At 37.2% G+C, this 12,445-nt stretch overlaps 1 long non-coding RNA gene across 1 annotated transcript in view; it reads right to left on the bottom strand.

The window, feature by feature from the left end:
- Positions 1–541: 541 nt before the first annotated feature.
- Positions 542–12,445, bottom strand: part of LOC105369890 (uncharacterized) — a 192,148-nt gene continuing 180,244 nt past the window's right edge. Inside the window, exons 11-13 of the long non-coding RNA XR_001749246.2 lie at positions 11,990–12,128; positions 6,084–6,255; positions 542–5,103 (exon numbers count right to left, since the gene is read on the bottom strand). This is a non-coding gene — a long non-coding RNA (uncharacterized LOC105369890). The remainder of the gene's footprint in view (positions 5,104–6,083; positions 6,256–11,989; positions 12,129–12,445) is intronic.

The raw sequence follows: 12,445 nt of genomic DNA, 5'->3' as shown, positions 1-12,445 counted from the left end.
ATTTGCAGGGGCTTGGCACTTCTGTACTGAGTAGCAGAACTAAATGTGACACCGATTTTTACCTTTTTAATAGTTTTAAATTGCATGGGGCTGGTGTTGAAAAGGGTCAGGGAAACAGAAGAAATACAGAAGCAGTAAGGCAACAATTAAACATCATAGCTTGGGCAAACCTGTACTTAACATCCACCATGATGACAACAGTAGCAATGCTAAGGATATATTGAGTATTCAGGTTCAGTTGTGGGCTGAATGTGGGCACAGCTTGGCATTTGAAATTAGGCAGATTCAGACTATGATGTTTTCTCACAGTTAATGCAGAGACCATAGATAATAATTATGTTGCTGAGCCTACAGTGAATCTTTACGACTGATCTTCTGTTAAACTGGCAAAATAAGAGGATAATGTCTCCAGCACTAACAAGTTGGCAGGGAAGTAGCTGGCAACCCCTCCCACTAATGTTCCATCTGTGCGAACCTTCAGTATGATCCAGGATATTGTTTCCCCACACAGGTTGTGCCTGCAGTGTAATCAAGACAGAGAGACCAAGCACAGATATCTTTATTGTTTTTGAAGACGACTGCCATTGGAGGGTGAGCAGAACCTGGGACTGAGTGCTAATGCTGTTATGTTCTTCTAAGAAGTATCCATGCAGCGATGTCGACAGGAAAATAACCGTTCCTAAGCACTGGCTTGTTGTCCAAGTGACATAAAAGTCACAGAATGAGAAGAACAGTTTCTTTCATTTTAGAAAAGCCTTTTGTTTCTCTTCCTGGAAACTTGGAAAATTGTTTTTGTTTAAAAATATCTTTTCTGTTGATTGCGAACACAGTGCATGTTACTTTCCCAGCCTTGACGCTCCTCCAGCATCCACAGTCTCTGGATCAGATTTTGCTCTAAAAGCTCAGGCGAGACGAAAGAAAGGCTTGTGAATGCAAAGAGGGTGCACAAACCAGCTGAGGCAAATCCTGACTTAAATCCCTGAAATGATGTCTGTCATTGTACACTTCCCATGCCACCCAAGAAGTGTCCCCTGATGTTTCAGGCAGCTGTCACATCTGCCTCCTCTGAGCTCCTAAATATTTGTTTTATATTTAAAATGTACTGCCTTGTGTTGGAATATTGTACTTCACGGTTTATTTATTTCTCCTTTCATATAGTTCACCGTGCCTGAAATAGGGCCTCATTGGACATACTTTTGTATCATGACTAAATAAGCAAATTCTAAGCCATCCCTATTGAAGACCAGGCACAGGGAAGCACCCTCAGGTTACTCACTAATGTAGGGAGGCATATTGCCATTACCTCACCTCGGTGGTGAACTCTCTATGGAATAATAGGTAATAATAACTAATATGCTATTATTTTTAAATGCCAGTGTGCTTTTATGTGCTGGTTCTAGGCACTTTATATGTTTAATACATTTAATTCTCACCATAGGAAGTAGCTATTGTTATCATCTCCATTTTACAGATGAGAAGGCAAAGGCACAAAAAAGTTTAAACTTTTTAAAGATCTTACAACTAGTAGGTGGTGGTGTTAGCTAGCATGTGATCTGTCTTCAAAACTCAAATTCTTAAGCACTCCACACACTGCCTCTGGATGGGAGTCCTAAACGTCTATGAGGGACATGAATCCTATTATATCATTTTTGCAGTATCTCTAAGATCTTATACAAGACAGAAATACAGAGGAGGCAAAGGAGGTTTTAATTATCTGCTTTTTCATGTATTTTCCTTCATGGAATTCACTTTGAATACATTTTAGGGGTTTGAAGAAGCCCAGGAAATTATTTCCTTCTATCTTCTCTTCAATTCATACGCTTAACTCCTACCCAACATTTGTTCACTCCCTTCCTCCTCCTCTAAACAAAGCAGAAGCAAATAAAAATATTAATGCTACAAGAAACATTTGCAATGATCTATGCAACCCTTTCTCCGGAAGGTTCCATCATTATCGGATTCACCTAACAACTCCTATTCATCCAAACATGGTCTCAATGGAGTTTTTCTTTACCTGTAGGCAGCTTAGTTGCCTCCCACTGTCTTTTGTTCATAGACACATCAGAGTGACAGTCTTTTTAGAAGACTGGTATTTATGCAGTATTCCTAGTTCTATACATTACAGTGGGCACTGAAAGTTTATGTTTTGAATGAATTAATGAATCCAATACACAGCCCTCATTTTACAGAGGAGGAAACTGCTGTGAAATTGGAAAGGTAAAGTGACTGATCACAGTCACATATCTAGTCAGTAGAAAAGCTGACCTCAAGTCACTACATTTTCCATTGTGAGAGCAAAGTTGTCCTTTATAGCCTAAACCAAACCTGACGTTATTAATACCTGAAAACAATAGCCCAGCAATAATAGCTATCTTCTTTATATCTTATAATGCTTATAATCTGTAGCACTCATTTAGTTCTGGGTGCATATGTGTATATTTTACTTTTCTCTACCTAGATTATAATTATTTTAAAGTTAGAAATGTACCCTATCTTTTCTTTTCCATTCACGATGCTTTGGTTTCTTGAGTGTTTGAGCTTGTAAAATTAAAAGTTGAGCATCTTATTCACTTTTTTCACTTCTATCATCACCTCTAACTATAGCCCCAAGTACATCCTCAAGTTCCAGCTGTTTGAATAGTCCCACATCTCCATGTCTCCCTTGGAACCTGAAAAATACTCTGGACCACTAGCAACCATCACAAAACTAAAATAAGGCCATTCTGAGATTGGGTTAAGTGGACTTATATTTTCTTTCCCTTAGAAGATCTCTGTGGAACTGCACGGAATAATTTATCATGCATGAAGACTTTTTTTTTTTTTTTTTTTTTTTTTTTTGGTGTGCAAGTTACAAAGACTCATCACAGAGATTATCTTGAGTGATGGTATGTGGAAATGGAAGCAGGCCTCAGAAGGCCTGGAGACAGATCAAAAATCCAAGTAGCTACTCTTTTATCATTTTCTCTCTCTCTTTCTCTCTCTCTCTGTTACTCTCTCCCAACCTACCTCTACCTTTCTCTCTTACACACTCTCTCTCTCAAGGAACACACGGTCTGTCTTTCTTCTATATGGCTGCTTTATCATTCTCTCTCTCCATACCTGTTGTCTCTGCCTATGTACATACAAGACAGCCATTGCCTTATAACTCCCGAGTATACTCATATAAGTCACAGGTCTCTAAATCCCAATTCCAAGATCCTGAAAGAGCCAATATGATTGCACCAACTTGGCTCGGGTGTCCTATCCACCATCCACTCAGTTATGGCCAGGAGTCATGGTCACGGAGAATAGATAAGTTTCTGCAATTTGACATGGCCTCTGCTAGACACCATGGAGAAACATACAGGTGAGAAAAGTGAAAATGCTACCTTCAAAAATTTAATAATAGGTTACAGAGTAAGATCTAGAATTATATATTTTTAATAGTTTATATTATCTTTCCCACTGTGAAAGAAGACAGGAAGTGCCATCATTATTTGGTCAGAAAAATGGAAGAAAGGCTCTTATTTTCTTCTTCAATATTTCACCATTATACACACTTCAAAATTTCTATTGGAGCCCTCTTCTTTCTTATTCAATCTAACCCCTTCACTGAGGATGGAGAAAATAGGGGAAAGATGTATAACTTCTTCAAGGTCCTTGTAATGTTAGGAATGTAGTATCCATCTTCTAGGGCCTACCATGATTGCTGGACCCCTTAGCATGACACCAACATTCCAAGCAACCAACTAAATGAAGGGAGTAAGAAAGAAACGTTCCCCTTTTTTGAGTAGCACTTACCAGGGGCTCCACTCAATATTTCTTGTTTATGTAATTTGTCAGAACTATTCATATGGCCCATAAAGATGCAAAATAGGTGGATATATGTAATTCTTTTACTGGGCAACCTTGTGCTCAGCTAAGAAACAGGAATCCATTTGCTTATAAAAGAAAAGAGCAGAATGGGTCTATTATAGGTCAGTAATCTCTACCACAACCTTCAGTTCCTGTCCTCAATCTATGTCTCTTGTCCATAGCTTTTGTTCCTGGTGACAATCTTTCCTGCCTCTTTTAAATCTTATCTTCCTTGGAATATTGTGATACTGAACTATGCCAGCACTTTTTATTTTCTGGTTACTTTATAACTTTACTTTCCTTGGTTTCTCAATTTCTTCCTGCCCTCTAAGGATAGGTGTCCCAAAGACTGTCATTTCCTCTTTGCGTCTGCTTTCATCCACTCCCACCATTTAAACTATCAGCATTATTTTCTAGCTTGTGCTCCCTCTCTCTCTCTCTCTCTCTCCCCCAACTTCCAGGAAGATATTTTAGATCACTTACTGGTCATTTTTAATTAAAAGCCCAATATCTCCCAAAAATCTATTGAGGTATCAGAAACACATTTATATTCAAAATGTAATGCAGAGAAATTTCAACAGGTAAACTTTCTCTGATTCCCTATATCAGATAAGTTTGCTTATTCCATACCTACATCACATCCTGCAATTCTTCTTGGGTCCCACAATAATTATTAAAGTTAACTACTTGAACAAAGATTTCTTCCATGTCTCTATTTCCTAGTATACTAGGTCTTGAGAACAATAAAAATATGACTCTTGTTATAGCACTGCATCTCCAATGACTTGCACAGTGCTTTGCACATAGTAATCATGAAGAATAGCAAATGGACAAGCAAATGAATGAAGATATCATTTAGTTGCCTTTCCAGAGTTGTCATAGGGTGAAATTACCTTGGTCCTCAATGTATTATCTTAGTTTTTAAGCAGACTAAGAATGAGGTTGTGCTTATTGGTGGAATCAACTGCCACATTCATAAGATCAATGTCTACCAAATAATTTTCCAAGAGACACAGTTCATTGGAGATCAGAGAATCAGAATAAAAAGGCATAGTCAGGTGATTTAAAATTTAGTGTAGTTGGGCCCAGATATGATGACATTTCTATCTTCATAATAAGGGTAATTTTGATCATAGGGGCAAAACACTGGAAATATGTGACTTATTCTTACTCACCCTTCCACAGTCCTTAAGAGTATAATAGATCTGAATTTAAATTCCAGCTCTATGTGACCTTGAGCAAGCTTCTTTTCTTCTCAGTCTTCTGTTTCTTCATGTGAAAAAAAAAATCAACACCGGTTGTAAGGATTAATAAGATAATTATGTAAAATATTTAGCATAGTTCCTGGCATTTCGTGAGCACTCAATCAATGAAGGATATTATTTCCACCCTCCGGGCTTCCATAGATAATCAATGTTTTTTAATTAACAGATTTATTTTTGTTATTTAAAATTTTTTGTCCTTCCAACTTTTATTTTAGGTTCAGGGGGTATATATGCAGCTTTGTTACATGGGTAAATTGCACATCCCCGGGTTTTGGTGTACAGATTATTTCACCACCAAGGTAATAACCATAGTACCTGATAGGTAGTTTTTCGATCTCTATCTTCCTCCCACCCTCTACTTTCCCAGGGTCTATTGTTCTCTTCTTTGTGTTCATGTGTACTCAATATGTAGCTCCCACTTATAAGTGAGAACAAACTGTAGTTGGTTTTGTGTTCCTATAATAATGTGCTTAGGACAATGGCCTCCAGCTCCATGCATGTTGCTGCAAAGGACATGATCTTGTTCCTTTTTATGGCTTTTTAGTATTCCATCATCTATATGTACCACATTTTCTTTATCCAATTAGATATGTCAAGTTATATCCCAGTCCTATGGATCAGGAAACCCATTTTTATATCTTTATTATGATTCATTGTGTGCTGATTTAATAGTTTAACTCTCAAAGTTTCTTATCCAAAGCTCAGATGTCTCCAGTAATCATCACCCTATTGTTTAAAAAAGTCACATTAATAATACAGAAATTTCCGCCTTCTCTATAGTTTTTCTATTTACAGTTTCATTATTCCATGGCCAACTGTGGTACAAAAATATTAAATAGAAAATTCCAGAAATAAGCAATTCATAATTCTTAAATTGCTTGTCATTCTGAGTAGTGTGATGAACTCTTGTGCTAACCCACTCCATTCCACCCAGGATGTGAATCACCCTTTGCCCAGGATATCTATGCTGTCTGTGCCACTTACCTGTTAGTCATTAATATTATCTGCTCCTGACATGCAACCATCAACATTGTCATAGCTTGATAATCCAAGATCACCAGAAGCAGATGATCCTCTTTCTGATGTATGGTCAGAAGGTCAATACTGTAGTAGCCTAACGCTGCATCACAATGCCTATGTCATTCACTTCACTTCACTTCGTATCATCATGGAGACATTTCATCATTTCACATCACCACAAGAAGGATGAGTACAGTACAATAAGATATTTTGAGAGCGAGATACTCCATATTCACATAACTTTTATTATAGTATATTGTTATAATTCTATTATACTATTAATTTATAATCTCTTACTATGCCTAATCTCTTACTGTGCCTTATTATGCCTAATGTATAAACTAAACTTTATCACAGGTATGTATGTATAGGAAAAAATATAGTATATATATATGGTTTGGTACTATCCATGGTTTCAGGCATCCACTGGAAGTCCTGGAACCTACCCCCCATGGATAAGGAGGGACTACTGTAATAATAATAGTAATTTACATTTCCTGATTCCTGTCTCCATTCACTAATGAAAGAGCTTCAGCTCCCAAAAGAGCTCCCCTCCCACACACAAAAATATTACTGAGAGTCCCCAGGGTGAGTTTCACATGGACTAAATGAATATTCCAATTGCAGTGAAGGGTTTCCCTCCCTCTCTTCCTTCTTGCTTTCTTTTATTGATGGGTTTTGCTTGCCCTCTTTCTGTTAAAGATCAACTTAGTCGTAGCATCAAAACCAAAGAAGAAACTCCATCCTGTCCTCTATTTATTCTCTCCAAGTGCATTTTCACCAGCCTTTCCTTCCCTCTTCAGCCAAAACCCCCAAAGCCCACATACTCACGAACACATACCCACGGACCTCTGGTGGTCAGAGAATAGGTTTCCTTGGCTACAAAATTTCAATCCCTGCTTAGATTCATCTGGGGCATCCTGCTGACTTATTTATATTATTTTTAAGTTGTCAGGTCACACAGCACTGCAGCTTCTGTCTAGCTATAATTTCTTTCAAATAACTTCTCTTTCTGTGGTCCATAGTTCTGGTAACAGTACCAGGCTAAAAAAATTCTCACAGTAGTTGCATGTTCTCCGTTTCCTTCCTTTCTCACAATCAATATTAATTTCTGCAGATTTTACCTCCATAATCTCTCTTATTTCTACTTACATCTTTCTCAATTTTCACAGCTGCCAACCAAGGTGAATCATTAACTACTCTTGCCTGTATTGCTAAGTTCTCTTAATTTGTCCCTTTGCCTCCTATCCCCTTACCTTTCATCCATTCAACAGTGTTCTGGTCTACAAAACTTGAACACTGGATGAAATCTTATAGCTCTAAAAGCTACTAAATCCATGAAAATCAAGTTGAACTAAATAGATATTTTTGCACCAATTTATATCACTGTTTCCTCCCATTTTAGGTAAATCTGATGAACTGGGTCATTTTTTTCCAGTTCAGACTGAAAACAAATTGTTAAAAGCCAAGCTATACTCTTCTTTGAAAACCAAAAGTAAATGTCCTAGATTTCAAATGTAGAAGTTGCAAAGAAGTACACCAATTGAAGGGGTTGCTACAGGACTACTTTTATCCTAACTAGAAAAAAAGTTAAGTCTAATAAACACCTGGAATTATCCATAAGCAATTATGAGTAGCTGCTGTAGTGTAGGAGCAAGAGTAATGTTCATGCCATCCTTCCCGAAGCAATAAGCTCTGTAAGAACAGGGTGGTATTTGCCTTGTATCCCCAGCACATAGCATCTAGGACCTGATACATAGCTGATACCAGATAATTATTTATTGAAAATATAAATCAATGGATATCTATCCAAACTGCAATTCTAATGCTCTATATAATTTATAACTTCATGAAATAAGAAGCAGTATTTTGCATATTGTTCTACACCCTGTAGGGTTCTGGACAGTTCTCTGCACAGATAAGGCATTTGAACAGATTTAAATGATCGATTTTTTACAAATATATATATGCACTCATGTATATCACCAAAGGAAGTAATACTCTCAGTATGGCAATGCACAATAGAATCTGAAAATGGAAGAAGTCGTAGAAAGATGTTGGAAAACCTACAAGGTAAAGGCTTCTCAAATTCATTTCCAACCTGGCCAGAAACCCTTCAAATGTACGAGGTCCCTCAGGAGGAAGCAAAGCAATCTCTCTCCAAAGAGATTCCCGTAAAAAAAAAAAAAAAGAGGTAGTAACACCTCCTTCCCAGCTTTGTGCACACTGGCTTCAAACTCCGATATTACTTTGGAACAAAGAAAAGTAGTTTCCCTTCTCTCAAAGAGAATAGAAATACTGCTAATGAAAGCATATTTGCCAAACTTACAGTCAGATGACAAAGAGCTCACTAGCCGAGTACTTGGAAAAGTTCAGACACATTTCAGAACCCAAATGCCACATCTATCAAAGGAGCTGATGCTACCAGCCCTGTCTTCCAAACACCATATTTTGGGAAATAAAATATCACATACATTAAAATGCTTCCAAAACATGAAATGAAGTACATGTTAGGTGTCATTATTTGCTGCTGATGTAGGTGACCCTGCAGCAAACTATAACAATACCTGAGTATCAGTAGTCACCTGAATGCACATTGCTAAGGGGTGGCTGCTCAATATGATTGATTGCAAAGAGTGCCATAATAATAAAATTCCCTAAATAAATTTTCAGTTTGGGATACAGCCCATTTCCATGATTCCAGGTGCAAGTTCAAAAGTATCTCAAGGGAGCCAAAAGGTAATTAAAACTTTGTTAATGAAGAAAAAAAATCAAGAAGGACTATTGGTACTGGAGATATAGGAGGGGAAAAAATGGCAAGGAAAACGAGTTGTACATCTAGGACGTTGGATAGTTCCAATTATATTAAATTGAACAAGGAATATGCCACTCTGGTTTTATTACTTAAAAAACAACAAAAAACTCGAAGTCCCTCCTCCAAGATTAAGCTCTCAGTTCATTCACTTTCTTTCATTCATCATTTTTCTTTATCTCTGTTGGTGTTAGCTATCCCTCTGTCTTTTTATGTTAGGTGATTTCACAATTCCACATATGGTTGTTTTATCATCTTCTGTTACTTGCTTAAAAACAAACAAATCAGAAAGCCCCCTTTCCTTCATGCTGTCTTCTCTTATCTTTGCATCAATTTTTCTATTTTCTTCTATTACCAATAATGTTTAATTTCCACTACTTTTGATCTTTACTTTTCTTCGTCTAATTTACACGACTGTTCTGGTGTTTCTGCCTTATATTGATGTCTCTTCTGTCATTTAACCCTTGTCTTTCCCAATCCTACCATTCTGTCCTCCTTTTTTACTATAATTTTTAAAGCATGTGAGGGGGGCCTTAAAATGTTGCAGGAAGAGTTTGCTACCAGGATATTTGGAGTGAGGAAGAAGCCACAACAAAAGTCACTTATTCTAATTAGTGTATATCTGTGAGTGTGTGGGGGCTGATGGTTGACTTGAATCACTAGGTGGCAGTAGTTCAGATCTGACTCTATTCAGATAGCTGTGTCTTTCTACCTGCTTCCTTAATGTTTATGTCCTTTATACCAATTTTTATTCAAAAACTCATGTGGTCCTCTGCAGCATCTACATTTGAAATCTAGGACATGTCACATCAGTTCTCAAAAATAACATAACTTAACACTTAAGGATTTATGACTGCTGATTGCAGCCGAAACTAGGGAGGAAATGGTTTGGTTGATTTGCTTTTTTTTTTTTTTTTTTTTTTTTTTGCATTTAAAAAAAAGTAAATTTAAAGAACTTTATATGCAAATGTGCTGATGGAATAAAATTCCACTGCCAACATTCAGTTTATGAAGTAGAATGCATTAATGAGCATTTCATAAAAACAAGCCTTCCAATACTTCCAAACCTTGATTATTAGATAATGTGGGTAATCCATAGTGTGATCTATTGAATATATAGTGCGTACCTACTACACTTTGCCTACCCTTCACTTCTTCCTGTTGGGAACTGACCCTGCTATACCATTTACTAGCTACAAGACTTTCAACATATTATGAAAGCTCACTGTGCCTTAATTTTTCCAATTTGAAATTGGGAATGTTAATGGTACATACCTTATGTGGTTACTGTAAAGTTTAAGTGAGTTAAATACGTAAAACATTTAGAATGGTATCTGGCATGAATTTCTCCATGGTAGCTATTTGTCCAAGATATCCTTAGATCACCTGTTATGTTTAAGCATTAGATTGGGGGATGCAGGTTAAAAGGGAACTCTCCCCAAGTACATTTTAAAGCAAAGATGCAGATAAGTAACCACGTTATTAACAATGCAATTTGGTAAGTGGGATTTGTGAGGAGGAGCACAGAATTCTATAGGATGAAAGATCAACTTACACCGTATTTGGGTATGTAAAGGAGAGATGAAAAACCCTCTCAGATAAAATTATATCTCAGTTTAAAATCTAAGGCTGAGAAGTTTTAAATGGATGTATTAGGGGGAAAGAAGGTTAGGAAAGGTGTTTCTGGGAGGGGAAGGAACACATATTCTTCCCACAATCTAACTAAGAAGGTAATACTGGCATTATTCAGAAATTAGGCCATTTTTTCTTAATGCTCACAGGTATCTGAATAATTCATTTTGAGTCTCTATAAAGCAGAAGAAGCAAAGGAAGCATTTCAAAGGCCAAGAAGAAACTATTATAGCATGGCCTACTGAAGTGTGACTGTGAAGTAATGAAACAGATTTTTAAACAAAATGTGGCATGAATCTTTTCTCTGATAATATGCTGATCTCCTCCCTATGAAATGCTACTAAATGTTTTTGAATAAGGAATGCATTCATGAATTATATTTTCTAGGAGTAGTGATGGGTTTATACTGAGTCATCAATTTTCTCTCCTTGGGAACAATTGTGTGAATTTGCAAATCAGCTTGGTGTGGGATGGGAGAAGGGCACAATCTGGAGCCAGTCACAAGATGAATCCACTGAACACAAGAGCAATAAAAGCCTGAATTAAGCTTTTTAAAAAAAAATCCATTTACAATCAACTGACCTGAGGTTTTACTCACTAGAATGAGATCACTAGGGGTTGGTGTTGGAGGGAATGAGTTCTCCACAATTTCTAGTCCCATAAAGATGTGATCTTGATTTCCCAAATGGATAAAACAAACTTCCTACAGTATGCAAAACCTGAGCTGGCCTCTCCTTTTAACAGCAGACAGCAGAAATATAGAACAATGAGTTTAACAGTCCAGAAATTTAGTAGGAAAGCCACCTACAAATCCTTGTAAGAAACATATTTCTGCAAGGCAGAGAATTGTGGACACTTTGTGTGATGAAATTTATGAGAAGCCCCAGGGGTCTCTGTATGGATGCAAAGTGATTAAGTTGAGCACTTACTGTAATTGCTTTCTACCATTTAGTTAAGTAGTGATTCAAATGGCAATGGTACGGTTTGGGTGGCAAAAGGGTCATGTGTATTCCTAGCTAGGGGTGTGTCCTTAGTCTTCAATTTTTTTTTATGTTCCTCCTTATATGCCTCTCTCTTTGTATTATCCCTATCAAACTCCAGAGTCAACACTATCAGGTCTCAGAATTCCTACTCTCTCTACACACACACACACACACACACACACACACACACACACACACACATATACACACATACCCCATCAGAACTCAGATTTAGAAATGAAATATGAAGTATATTCAGGGACCCTATGTAACTTTTCCCTGACCTAGAGCAATGAAGAGCTTTAATAAGTATGGGCAGTTTGAAATGAACCTGAGAGTCATATTTGCCTGTCAGCAGGTTTGTGTACTTCATCTTGAAGGTTAGCTCTTGGCAACCACTTGAGAATTTTTCCTATATGAAGTTTACCAACCAAAGGACTCACCCTTAAAGACAATCTTGTCTTTCAGTGATCTTAATCCAGTAATTACTCCCACACTTCCTCTTCCACCTCCTATTTGAATAATGGAAAATCCTTTCATTTCTTCTGAGTAACTTCTGCCATCTGGTTTTTCAGGGATTTCCTGCAATAGAGAGCAAGGAGCTAGTGAAGTTAGGTTTTTGTTGTTGCTGTTGTTTTCCATTTCCCCCAGCAAACCATACAAAGTCATGAGACTCTGGTACAGTCAGCACAGATGTCTTCTCTCACTTCATAAACCTGATCATAGTATCTCTACTTAAAAAGAAACCTATCAACAACAATCATTACTCTCTTATGATAGTTTTTGCTTCCAATTGGCTGCAATAACCGCATGCCTTTACTATCATGCCCCAAAAAGCTCACATAGTATTAAATATTCAACAATATCCACCAGCAGCACACCAATATGTATATTATCTC

Source organism: Homo sapiens, chromosome 12 (genome assembly GCF_000001405.40).
Source record: "Homo sapiens chromosome 12, GRCh38.p14 Primary Assembly".
NCBI classification, from domain to species: domain Eukaryota; kingdom Metazoa; phylum Chordata; class Mammalia; order Primates; family Hominidae; genus Homo; species Homo sapiens.
The sequence above is the reverse complement of the archived record's forward strand: the minus strand, read 5'-3'. Positions and strand labels throughout refer to the sequence as shown.